This window comes from Homo sapiens, chromosome 14 (genome assembly GCF_000001405.40).
Source record: "Homo sapiens chromosome 14, GRCh38.p14 Primary Assembly".
In the NCBI taxonomy this organism is placed as follows: domain Eukaryota; kingdom Metazoa; phylum Chordata; class Mammalia; order Primates; family Hominidae; genus Homo; species Homo sapiens.
Window position 1 is genome coordinate 23,257,524 of NC_000014.9, and position 13,361 is coordinate 23,270,884.

General features: G+C 41.3%; 1 protein-coding gene and 2 pseudogenes across 7 annotated transcripts in view; 1 reads left to right on the top strand and 2 right to left on the bottom strand.

The window, feature by feature from the left end:
- RNF212B (ring finger protein 212B) overlaps positions 1-13,361 on the top strand; it is an 88,142-nt gene that overhangs the window by 72,188 nt on the left and 2,593 nt on the right. For 3 of the 7 annotated variants that reach the window (NM_001370218.3, NM_001282322.3, XM_011536319.3), the window contains 10 exons: positions 1,026-1,141; positions 2,361-2,421; positions 3,136-3,164; positions 5,142-5,188; positions 5,405-5,447; positions 6,651-6,711; positions 7,100-7,148; positions 11,401-11,440; positions 12,340-12,437; positions 13,077-13,138. In NM_001370218.3, coding sequence (NP_001357147.1) covers positions 1,026-1,141; positions 2,361-2,421; positions 3,136-3,164; positions 5,142-5,188; positions 5,405-5,447; positions 6,651-6,711; positions 7,100-7,148; positions 11,401-11,440; positions 12,340-12,437; positions 13,077-13,138 — 606 coding nt within the window. Of the gene's footprint in view, positions 1-1,022; positions 1,142-2,360; positions 2,422-3,135; positions 3,165-5,141; positions 5,189-5,404; positions 5,448-6,650; positions 6,712-7,099; positions 7,149-11,400; positions 11,441-12,339; positions 12,438-13,076; positions 13,139-13,361 lie in introns of all 7 variants that reach the window. The other 4 variants (XM_011536328.3, XM_011536323.3, XM_011536316.3 and 1 more) reach the window with 4 other exon arrangements.
- Positions 1,937-2,043, bottom strand: RNU6-1046P (RNA, U6 small nuclear 1046, pseudogene; annotated as a pseudogene).
- Positions 5,578-6,264, bottom strand: HMGN2P1 (high mobility group nucleosomal binding domain 2 pseudogene 1; annotated as a pseudogene).

Consider the following 13,361-nt stretch of genomic DNA (forward strand, 5'->3'; position numbering starts at 1 on the left):
ATGAGAAGAGTACCAAGATCTAGGAAAGGACCCTAGACAAAAGAGGGTTTATAGTCTGAACAGGGAGGAAGCAGATGAGACGTAAATACTGCTGTGTACTCAAAAGTAGAGCCTGACAAAGCTAAAACACTTTCTAAATATTAACTTTTGATCCGATTCAGCAATCCCATGATAGACACATTAGTATAGCAAATGGTAAAGTGAGGCAAAATAAAAAATTACGTGTGCATGCCCAGAAAAAAAATTCAAGCATAGGTAATCTCCTTCTGTGCCTCTCCACCCTTTCCTATAGCAGCATAAGCAGCCTGCAGGTGACTCTGTAGGTGTCTTTAGGGAAAATAAATTGGTCACCAAGGCTGTGTAATAGCTATGAATGTGGAGGCTGATCCAAACTAATAGTTGACAAGTTAGAACCAATTCTAAGCTTGAAAAACAGTTTTAAAAAAAATCTCTCTTCTTGCACGGGATGAAAAATTATATATTTAAAGGGTCATTCTACTATGGTAGAATATTCTCATTAAGATAGTAAAAGGGGCCGGGTGCGGTGGCTCACGCCTGTAATCCCAACACTTTGGGAGGCTGAGGTGGGTAGATCACCTGAGGTCGGAAGTTCAAGACTAGCCTGACCAACATGTAGAAACCCCGTCTCTACTAAAAATACAAAATTAGCTGGGCGTGGTAGCACATGCCTGTAAACCCAGCTATTCGGGAGGCTGAGGCAGGAGAATAGCTTGAACCCAGGAGGCAGAGGTTACGGTGAGCCGAGATCGCACTATTGCACTCTAGCCTGGGCAACAATAGCGAAACTCTGTCTCAAAAAAAAAAAAAAAAAAGACAGTAGAAGGCTAGTGTCCTGGAAATGAGTGCTGAGCTCTCTAGTTCTGGGAAGTTGTGAATTAGGCCAGATGTTCTAGAAGAAAATGAGCAGTATAATAAAGTGTGATTTGATGGCTTCCCTTTCTTGCCAGAAGTGAAGGGAAAGGAGTTATGGGAGAGTATGTCAAAGGCTTGTTTTTCCCTAGTAGGTGTGGAGTTTCCAGAAGAAACAAACAGATCTCCTCATCGCCTTTTATAAGCATAGAATTACAAAGTTAGAAACAGCCATGCAGGAGGCACAGCAAGCACTGGTGAGCCAGGACAAGTAAGTAACAAATCAAGTCCCAAGAGAGCTTTTTTTTTTTTTTTTTTTCTAAGAAGTGACAGTCCTTATTGTGTTTGCAAAGCCTGGAAATTGCTCCATATGTATTTGTTTGTTTGGGAAAATCAGGTACAGAATTTTTGATCCCCTGAATCTCCATTTTTTCTCTTTCTTCCCTCCAGAGGCCCTCCTCACTTTATAGTTTTCCTCTTCTATTTCTCGGTATCAAAAACTGCTTCCCAGACCAGGTGCAGTGGCTCACACCTGTAATCCCAGCACTTTGGGTGACCGAAGCAGAAGATCACTTGAGGCCAGGAGAAGATCAGCCTGGGCAACACAGCGAGACTCTGTTTCTAAAAAAAAAAAAATTTTAAACAAAAATTAGCCAGACATGGTGGTTCACACCTGTAGTCCCAGCTACTTGGGAGGCTGAGGCCAGAAGATCGTTTGAGCCCAGGAGTCTGAGTTACAGTGAGCTATGATCACACCACGACACTCCAGCGTGGGTGAAAAAGTGAGACACTGTCTCAAAAACAAAAACAAAAAAAAACATCTGCTTCCTTGGGAAATCAGATATAGCTGATTCACACTGATAACACTCATTGTAGCCTCAATCTCCTGGGCTCAAGCAATCCTCCCACCTCAGCCTCCCAAGTAGCTGGGACTACAAGTGCACACCACTATGCCTGGCTAATTTTTGTATTTTTTTTTTTTTTTTGTAGAGAGGAGTCTCTGCATATTGCCCAGGCTGGTCTGGAATCCTTTTTTTTTCTTCTTTTAAAGTTTTTTTTGTTTTTTTTTTTTATGGAATGCTTCAAGCATTTACATGTTAACTTTCTTTGGGGGCTATGTTAATCTCCTCTGTATTGTTCCAATTTTAGTGTATGTGCTGCCAAAGCAATCACAAGATGGAGTCCTTGATAAAAATTTTTAGACATCAGCAGGCCAGGGGTGTGTGTGTGGGTGGAGAGAGGAAATGGAATTCTTTGCAAATTCCCCTGAAATCATACCAAGTAATTGCTTATTTTGTCCACCTAATTGTTCTCATTATCAAAACCCTGCCATTAGTCTCCTTGAATCATCAAATCCCTGATAGAAATAGCTTGTATAGCTGCAAGCATTTCTCAGTAAGTATTAACTAGATGTTAATAGTTATAATAATAAAAAATCAGGTTTTTAATCCCTGATTTGCTGGAGCTGATTGTTTCCATCTTTTGCCTAGAGAATTGTCAGTCTTAAGGAAGGAGAATGGAGAACTGAAGAAATTTCTAGCCATTCTAAAGGTGAATGAAATAGATTTTCCTTATTATTATTTTCTCTCTTACTTTTCTCATCTATCTAGCTGACTGTATAGAATAGTGTTTCCTAATCTTTTTCTCATCATGGCACACACAGAAATTGATATTTGTATAACAAGCACACTATAGTAAATGGATGAGGTCTCAGCAGACCTTGGGGGACTGAAAGGATCAATATATAGCACACTTGTAACCCATTCCTGAACATCAGTGAGTCATGACCTACCAGTTGGAAAGCTCTCTTATAGAAGAGACAGCTGTTGCAACTTAAACATTTCTCTTCAAGAAACTCAAAGATACCTCAGGACCCTTCCTCTGCATCACACTCTACTTCCTAAATAGTTTTTCTTCCTAAGAATGTTCTGTGTATTTATATAATTTTCCTATTGATCCTACTCCTGTAATTATTCTAGCACATTGTAGTGTGTCATTTTCCTTTCTCTCACCAGAGACTCCGTATTTCCCCACATATGTTAGTCTATGGGATTCCGTATGCACTCTTATGAAGAACTAAACTTTTATCCCCTCAAAGCTAATAATATCCTAAGGAAATACTGCTGCTACTTTTCCTCCTACTGGGAGTCTTAGCAACCATGACTAAGGGGCACTGAGCTTAGTTATCTCGCAAGTAAGACTGAAGATCTGTTGATTAGGATCCTCAGTTGCAGCTTTCTTCACTCCTGGTTTTTTCACCTATAGGAATCTCCAAGTCGGTACCAAGGAAGCAGGTCAGTTTTATCAGCTCCCATACTAGCCCAGCCCCCTGAAAATTCCTGTTCTTTCTTGACTCCTGGCTGTGTGAACTCTGAGAGAGAGAAAATGGTTAATGAATTTAGCTTTCACTTCTCCGAGGAAGAGTTAGTTACTGAAAGTGCCGAAGTAAAATCTTAATTGTAATGCTCACCCTGGATTGTCATCTTATGAAATCCTAGTGTTTGAAATGCTTGTTCCCTGGTGCCATAAAGAAATAGCATTTGAACATAAATTTAATTTACTCAGCAAGGTCATTTTTACTTCCTGCAGAAAGGGTACACTCGCCGGCAGTTTTGCCACGAGAGTACACTGAACAAAGGAGACAGGGTCGTTCATAACCTGACGCGTCTACCTTACTGCTGTGTCCGGTTTCCATTGGCTGGAACCAGACCTCACATTCTGTATTTGTTCCGATTGGCTAGCAACTTAGAACTTATGAAAAGGGGCAAAGGTAGAGGAGAACAAAGGAAGGAGGAAGTAACTTGTGGAATGCTGAGAAAGGTAAAAACACCTTCAAATAAGGAAGAGGAACAGACTATAACCTAATGCTTGTTTGGACCAATCTAAGCATGCCAGGGCAAATATTTAGGCTAAATTGTGGGAGCTAAGAACATAAAGTACATTGATTTCTTTATTACGGCTAGCAGATATTTAAGAATGTTAGTACAGGTCTTTAAATAAATTTTGCTTTTAAGAGAAGTTACTATTTATTCCTAATTAGATGAAGAGGAAAGTCTTTAAAGAGGAACCTCCACCTTACTTTTTACACTACTCATCCTTCAAAATTGAACTCAGTCATTTCCTCTGTGAAGACTGCATTAGGTGGAGTTAGATGGTCTGTTCATTCATTCAATATTAAGTGCCTACTGTTTATCAGGTACCATGTTACAGGCTGGATATATACCACCGGTCCTTTCTAATTAGTGATATCTATGCTCTACCAACTCTTAAATATATTTTTAGTATCGGCTGGGTGTGGTGGCTCACACCCGTAATCACAGCACTTTGGGAGGCCAAGGTGGGCGGATCATGGGGTCAGGAGATTGAGACCGTTCTGGCTAACATGGTGAAACCCCATCTCTACTAAAAATACAAAAACAAAATTAGCCGGGCGTGGTGGAGGACACCTGTAGTCCCAGCTGCTCGGGAGGCTGAGGCAGGAGAATGGCGGGAACCCAGGAGGCAGAGCTGGCAGTAGTGAGCCGAGATCACCCCACTGCACTCCAGCCTGGGTGACAGAGTGGGACTCTGTCTCAAAACAAACAAAAAAACAGAAAACAAAACAAAACTCTCTCTATATATACACACACACACATATATATTTTTTAATATCAGTCCTGCATTATGGATTAAAGAGACACTGCCCCTACATTCATAGAAGTTACAGTCTAATGTTCTTTTGTCCTTCTATACTTCTGATAAGCCCATTACAACACTTAAACACTGTTCTGATTTTTTTTTTCATCTCTCCCACTAGCCTGTAAGCCTCTCAGTTATTCTAGTTATCTTTGTAATCTCAGGATCTAGGAAATATAGACCCAAATATATGCTTGTTGGATGGCATCCTTCTTTCTGGTTACTTTGGGTTTAGTTATTTTTCTAGTTTCTTAAGGTGGATGAGAGGATGGAGGGATGTATGAATGGATGGACAGATGTATGGTTGAGAGTACTTGGTAAGGCACTGAGGAGAGAAGAAAGGTGTACTTTAAAACTTCTATTATGGGCAACACAGAGGTGGAGAAAGCTCCACTTAGGGAGTTGGAGAGCAATGGGTTTTATATGGAAACTTTGCTTCCATATTTTAGGATGCTACCTATAATACATGAGAGTAAGCAATTTGTCCTCAGAGAGGAAGCTATTATTCTATAAACAATGATCTGATTGATCCTCTAAAGTGGCACTTGACCTCTGCCTAGAGAGATTAGAGCCGCCTCTTTTTTTTTCCCTTGCAGGTCAATCACACCTCGACCAGTGGGCATTACTTCCCCATCACAGTCAGGTGGAGAACATTTTTCCCCTAAATATCTGTGTGAGATGAATATCCTTTCCTTATGTAGAAGATGGTTTCCTCTCAGAGACAATAATGTGATCTTCCTAACTTTATGTGTAATATGAAAACATTATATAACCAGATAACCATGTACAACAAATTGGCCAGGCAAGGCAGGCATACCATTGATGGCAACTTTTTATTCTGTACTTTATTCTCTTTCAGTTACCCCACGACCCAGTTTCCAGCATAGCAGTCAAGTGGTCAGGTAAACCTACACAGCAACATTAAAACTGTTGGCAAAAGTTGGAAGATAGAAGAAATATCTAGTTGTAGCTCAGATTGGGACTGATGAAATTTTAGGTCTATGTAGAAGTTTAAAGCTAGGGTTTTTTTTTTTCCCTAAGCCAAACTGTATCCAGCTTTATTAAAGATACTGTCCATTCAGGCAGGACATGGGCAGACAATCATTAACAGTATACAACAACTCTCAAACTCCCTTCTTCAATGGATTACCAAAAATCAGAAAGCCACTATAAAACCCAATGAAGTCTTCATCTCATGCTCCGAACAGGGAAAGTTGAGAGTGAGGGTTGACATTTCACATTTAGCATATTGTTTAACAACTTTTCACAAGCCAACCCTGACTTTCAGGGAATGAAATGAAAATGGCAGAATTTATCTGAAGATCCACAATCTAGAAATGGAACCACTGCTCTTTTGACAGGTGCCATCTCAGTGGCATCACTGGAAAGTCCAGATTGCCAGACAAACTGGTAATCAATGACTGGGGGTCAGGTCCTAACAGATGTCTCGGCTTAAGGGAGTTAAGTTTATGCTGAAAGATGGAAAAGGAGAAGAGGACATAAAAACGAATTTGTTTTTTCATACCACAAGGCTTTTGTGCCAAGGTGGCCATGTGTGTCAAAGTCAGGGAATCCCTCCTCTTGGGAGCCAAGAGGAAGTCTCTCAAAACTAGAAGGGAAAGGTGTTTTCCTCCCATCAATCCAGCTTCGGAGACTTTCTATTAGTGACATGTGCCCCTTCCCCCAAAAAAAACGAGTGTTCTGTGTGCTAACAACATATAAAGCTAGGTTTTCTGAGGCTGGGTACAGTAGCTTATGCCTGTAATCCCAGCACTTTGGGAGGCTGAGGCGAGTGGATCATTTGAGGTCAGGAGTTCGAGACCAGTGTGGCCAACATGGTGAAACCCTGTCTCTACTAAAAATACAAAACTTAGCTGGGCATGGTGGTGCACGCCTGTAGTCCTAGCTACTTGGGAGGCTGAGGCATGAGAATCACTTGAACCCAGGATGCGGAGGCTGCAGTGAGCTAAGCTTGTGCCATTGTGCTCTAGCCTGGGCAACAGAGTGAGACTCTGTCTGAAAAAAACCAAAACAAAAAAACAACAACAATAAAAAGTAAAACTAGGTTTTTTGCCTTTTTTTTCTTTTTGTTTCACCTTATACAGTCGGTCCTCCTCAGCGGAATCTATTCCTTATAGAGAGGCTGGCTTTGGTAGCTTGGGACAAGTAAGTAATGTTCACCTTATCTTTCCAGATTGAAGTTTCTAATGCTAAATGAAAGCAAAGGTTTATCAAGAACTTAAATTTATATTGGTTTTGGCATAAATTATCTGATGTCATACTGGACCCTATTTTCTTTTGGCAATGGAGACCTGATATTAGAAACTGACAGAGAATAAATAGGGGTGGAAATAGTGAAAGTGTTTAAGGACTCAATCAACAGTGTCCATGGTGTTCATTTTGGAAGGAGTAAAGTATGGATCTTTCTTTGACTAGTATGCCCACTGCAGTAGAACAATATATGCTTGAATGTGTAGCTATAGATAAATAGGGAATAGGGAAGCCAGATAACTGAGATATATTTATTAATTGATGCTTATTATTTGTCTATCAGGGAGGCAGAGGTCTGCAGGGAAGGAGAACTCCCAGAGACTCTTATAATGGTGAGGTGGGGGGAAAAGGGTGTCAGAAATCAACTTACTCTATGCGAAGATCTGCGGATTTCTGGTTTTCTATGCATAATATAATGCCATTTCACTTGTTTTTTTTTCCTGACAGTGATTCCATGTATCCATACATATATTACAAGGTTTTTTTTTTTTTTTTTGGTGAGATGGAGATTTACTCTTGTTGCCCAGGCTGGAGTGCAATGGCATGATCTCGGCTCACCACATCCTCCGCCTCCCATGTTCAAGCGATTCTCCTGCCTCAGCCTCCCGAGTAGCTAGGATTACAGGCATGTGCCACCACGCCTGGCTAATTCTGTATTTTTAGTAGAGACGGGGTTTCATCGTGTTGCCCAGGCTGATCTCGAACTCCTGACCTCAGGTGATCCGCCTTCCTCGGCCTCCCAAAGTGTTGGGATTACAGGCGTGAGCCACTGTGCCCGGCCTACAAGTTTTTCAAATAATGATATTTTTGTCTTCCAACTAATAAGGGGAAAATAAAGATTTGAGTGATAGAAAGTCATTGAAAACCTCTGGTCAGGAGATGGAGGATAACTTTTCAGTAAAATTGACTTGGATTTTTTTGAATTGCCACAAGATGGCATTACAAGCTAAGTGTAAAAAGAAGGTTCACAGGATGCTGATTGTTGGCCTGAAGGGTATCTGGCTTCTTTGCTGTGTTTTAAACATAAAAATATTCCAGTGAAGGAATATTTTGGGTCTGCTTACTTAATTTCTTACCTAAAGCCCCTTAAAATTATTACTGTTGTTACCATTTTCAAGGGCATTAGCCAGTACCTAGAGAATACCTATCAGAGAAGACTTTCACAAGAAAGAATTTGAAATTCCCAAATCTCTTTTTTTAATTCTCCAAATAGTCTCCCTCTAAATCTCCCACATTTGAAATCTCCCACTCCTTTGAAAAACATAGATGTTCTAGCCAATTTATTTCTGTCAGGTTGGTAACAACAGTGTTCTCTTTTTCATTCTTAATTTTAGTAATTTGAGTCTTTTCCTCTTTCTTTGTCAATCATTTCAAAGAATTCGTTTTGTTGAGAGTCTGTATTACTTCTTCTATTATCTGTTTCATTTACTTCTGGTTTAGTCTATTTCCTTCCTTCTCATTATTTTGGATTTAGTTCTTTTTCTAGTTTCCTAAGGTGGAAGTTTCGATTATTGATTTGAGATCTTTTTTACTATTGATGTTTCCAGTCATAAATTTCACTGTAGCACTGCTTTTACTGCATCCTATAACATTTGGCATGCTGTGTTTTGTTTACATTCATTCCAAAGGTTGTTTGTTCATTTGTGTTTTTTTTTGAGATGGGGTCTCACTCTGTTGCCCAGACTGGAGTGCAGTGGTGCCATCTCAGCTCACTGCCACCTTCGCCTCCCAGGTTCAGCCTCCCAAGTAGCTGGGACTACAGGCACGTGCCACCATGCTTGGCAAATTTTTGTATTTTTAGTAGCGACGGGGTTTCACCATGTTGGCCAGGCTGGTCTCCAACTCCTTACCTCAGGTGATCTGCCCGCCTCAGCCTCCCAAAGTGCTGGGATTATACCCATGCTGATCCCATTCCAAAGTATTTTCTAATGTCCTTTGTGATTTTTGTTTTTTGGACCCATTGGTTGTTTATCAATGTGTTGTTCAATATCTACATATGTGTGAAGTTCCCAAATTTCCTACTGTTATTGATTTTGACTTTCAGTGATTTAAATCCTTTTAAATGTTTTTTTTTTTTTTTTTTTTTTTTGAGATGGTGTTTCTTTCTTGTTGCCCAGGCTGGAGTGCAGTGGTGCAATCTCGGCTCACCGCAACCTCCGCCTCCCAGGTTCAAGCAATTCTCCTGCCTCAGCCTCCCGAGTAGCTGGGATTACAGGCATGCACCACCACCACACCCGGCTAATTTTGTATTTTTAGTAGACACGGGGTTTCTCCATGTTGAGGCTGGTCTCAAACTCCTGACCTCAGGTGATCTGCCTGCCTCATCCTCCCAAAGTGCTGAGATTACAGGCGTGAGCCACCACACCCGGCCTGATTTAAATCCTTTTAAATTTATGACCTAACATGTGGTCTATCCTGGAGAATGCTCCATGTGTATGTGGAAAGAATGTATATTCTACTCTTTTTGGGTGGTGTATTCTATAGAGTCTGCTAGGTTTAGCTAGTATATCGTGTTGTTCAATTAGTATGCTTCTGTTTCCTTTCCTTGCTGATCTTCTGTCCAGTTGTTCTGTCTGTTATTGAAAGTGGGGTATTAAAGTCACCAACTATTATTGTGGTTTTTGGTTTTTTGTTTTCTTGTTTTTTTGAGACAGAGTCTCGTGCTGTTGTTGATGCTGGAGTGTAGTGGCACAATTGTGGCTCACTGCAGCCTCCACCTTCCAGGCTTAAGCGATAGTCCCACTTCAGCCTCCTGAGTAGCTAGAACAAAAGGCATGCACCACCACGCCTGGCTAGTTTTTTTATTTCAATTTTCATGTCTTTGTAGAGACGAGGTCTCCCTGTTCTGCCCTGGCTGGTCTCGAACTCCTGGGCTCAAGCAATCCTCCTGCCTCAGCTCCCAAAGTGCTGGGATTATAGGCATGAGCAACCATGCCCAGTCCCTATTATTGTCAAATTGTCTTATTTTCTCTTCAATTCTATCAGTTTTTGCTTCATGTATTTTAGGACTCTATTGTTAGATGCACATATAAATGTTTCTCTTCTTGATAAATGGACCCCTTTATCATTATTTAATGCCTTTGTCTCTTGTAACAATTTTTTTTTTTTTGGGACAGAGTCTCACTCTCGTCTTGGCTAGAGTGCAGTGGCAAAATCTTGGCTCACTGCAACCTCCTCCTCCTGGCTTCAAGTGATTTTTGTGCCTCAGCCTCTTTAGTAGCTGGGATTATAGGCATGTGCCACCACGCCTAGCTAATTTTTGTATTTTTAGTAGAGACAAGGTTTCACCATGTTGGCTAGGCTGGTCTCGAACTCCTGGCCTCAAGTGATCTGCCTGCCTCGGCCTCCCAAAGTGCTGAGGATTACAGGCATGAGCCACTGTGCCTGGCCCAACAATTTTGTCTTAAAGTCTATTTTGTCTGATATTAGTATAGCCACTCTTTTGTTCCTTGTTTTTTGCATGGAATATATTTTTTCATCCTTCTCCTTTCAACCTATATGCATCTTTGAATCCAAAGTGAGTATCTTGTAGACTGTGCATAGTTGGACTTGTTTTTTCTTTCATCTGTTCTGCCAGTTTCTGCCTTTTAATTCATTTACATTTAATGTAATTACAGATAAGGAAGGACTGACTTCTGCATTTTGTTATTTGTTTTCTATATGTCATGCTTTTTGGTTAGCCTTTTGTTTGTCCCAGCTGATATTTATCTCCTTAGGCAGCCAAACAAGTGCTTCTAATTGTTTTCATCAGACTGGAGAAAGGTTTTTCTGCACTTGGTAAGCTCTGAGCTCCAAGTCCTGGTGAACTTGAGCTCCAAGTCCTGGTGCTGTCAAATTAAGACAACCTTGAAAGTGGGGTCTTCCAGGGAACCACTAGACAGGTCAAATAATGACAGTTCTCTGGGAATGAATCCTTCAAAAAGCTCCAACCCTGTTCCATCCCCTCTAGTGACTGCCAGACTGTTGGGTTTCATCATGAGCATGCCCTGTTGGTTTTCAAGGCTATCATGGAGGTGGAGAAGGAGAAATGGCAATAGAGCAAGTTAAAATGCCACAAACCTTGCTGTTTTTACTAACATTTTGCTATTTTTCTTGAATAAACATTCTCCAGATTACTACAAGCCCTTTGTTAATTTTCAGATTTCTGAAAAAGTTGATTCTGACCATTATGCCAATTTTCTCATTGCTTTTATGGAGGAGGAAATTTTTGGAGGTCTTTGCTCTGCCATTTTTGTTGATGTCACTCCTAGCTAATTTTTGTTGATGTCACTCCTAGCTAATTTTTGTCTTTACCCATTCTTTCTGGTGATTTCCATCTTAGAGGGGAAACCAAGGCACAGATACATGAGAGCACATGAAGGCAGTGAGGGATCTCAGCCCACAGACTCATGAAAGGGAGAGGAAAGCACCTATAAGAGATACTGCTATGTGATTTGTGAGCTTTTTCACTTGGCATTAGCCCCCAACCCTAACCCATATACTAAAAATCTTTTATCTCCATTTCCTTTGCCCTGGCCCCAAGTATACCTGAATCTCTTCTCCAGTTCATGGATTATCTCACAGGCTTATTTTTATGCTTTCCAGAAACCCCTTCACCGGCTTCAACTCATAGCCTATCTTATAGGTCAGTAACACTATGCTTCCTTTTTCTTGGGATGTGTTCATACTTAAACTCTGCCAGCAGGCTGGGTGCGGTGGCTCACGCCTGTAATCCCAGCACTTTGGGAGGCCGAGGAGGGTGGATCACTTGAGGTCAGGAGTTTGAGACCAGTATGGCCAACATGGCGAAACCCTGTCTCTACTAAAAATAAAAAATTAGCCGGGAGCGGTGTCACGTGCCTGTAATCCCAGCTACTCGGGAGGTTGAGGCAGGAGAATTGCTGAATCCAGGAGGCGGAGGTTGCAGTGAGCTGACATGGTGTCACTGCCCTCCAGCCTGGGTGACAGAGTGAGACTCCGTCTCAAAAAACAAACAAAAAAACAAAACTCTGCCAGCAGTCCTGGGATTACTTCTCCACTGGCTTGTACCACCGAAGTTTACAATGTGCCTTATAAGCAAAAAAGAAAGCTGGATAGCACTGTGTTTAATATACATCCAAATTACTGTATTTTGGCCCGGTAGTGGCTCCCACCTGTAATCCTAGCACTTCGGGAGGCTAAGGTGGGAGGATTGCTTAAGCCCAGGTGTTGGAGACCAGGCTGAGCAACAAAGTGAGACCTAATTACCCGGGCTTGGTGGGTGTATGCTTGTGGTCCCAGCTACTTGGGAGACTAAGACAGGAGGATCACTTGAGTTTAGGAAGTCAAGGCTGCAGTGAGCCATGATCATACTACTGCACTCCAACCTGGGCAACAGAGTGAGACCCTGTCTCAAAAAAAAAAAAAGAAAAAATTATCATCAGTTGCAAGCAGGGAATTTTTTCCTCTCTGGCCTAGCTGTATAGGCTCTTCCATTACATATGCTTTTTATTTTTACCTTTACCTGTCCTTTTCTCTGCTGATGCTTTTATTTGCTTTCCTTAGAACTTCATCTGCCTCCTCTGGACAGGGGATTTTTTCTTTCAGACCATCCCCAAATGGGCATTCAGGCCACACAAGAGTCCTCACCCCCAACAATTTTGGTAAGTTAAATAACATTTCCAAAGGAATGGAGCTTCAACTATAGACACATATACTAAAATGAAGATTTTCAAGATGACAAGATGTTGAGGTTTGCCCCCCAAAGAGCATTGTCTCTAGTTGGCTCCTTAATATTCTTTAAGAGCCATCCCATTTTCTTCAGAGTGAAGGGAAACTCTGGATTTTGCCTGGTTAGCACTCATCCTGTCACCAGTCGAGTCCTACTATTTAGCCAGAAGGTTGGCCTATAGGATTAAACTGGCTTCTCAAAAGTCCCTATATTGAAAATGCTGGGCGCTCAGTTCTGAGGATTATAAGGCCAATATCCATTCTTCTCCCCATCTTTTTCAGTAAAGGTGGTACCACCAGTCCTCTTGCTAAGAGGCTGCCATCTTCCATAGCTCACCTAAATATTTATATTGGCTATTTTCCCACTCATAGTTAAATCTCAGACCTCTCTGCCAGTACCTGGTCCTCACAGGAAAAGAACAGACTTTATATCCCATCTCTTAAATTGCTGATTGTGTTTCCCTTCTGAGTAGTGTTCCTTTAAGAACTACCTCATTACCCTGACCCACAAGTAACACTGCCGAGAAACTGCCCAAGTAAGTTATCTTTCACTGTTCCATTCTATCCTTCAGCTCAGAGGGAGAGCACAACTACACTAGAGAGTCTTCCTAGTTTCCAGCTACCAGTCCTGCAGGTGAGACCTGGCTAGTCTAACTTGTCTGTGCATAAAATCTCACATGGTTAGGCCTGCACACTAAATGCCTCAGGGTAGTGGAATATAACCAGTGAAGAACGACATGGGTTTCAACTCTGGTAACTATATGTTCACAATCTTCCAGAATGGTCTCAATTTCAGATTTTATCCTACTGTTAGATTAGCTTCCTGGTTTGGGGTTTTAAAATGAGGTCACATGGTA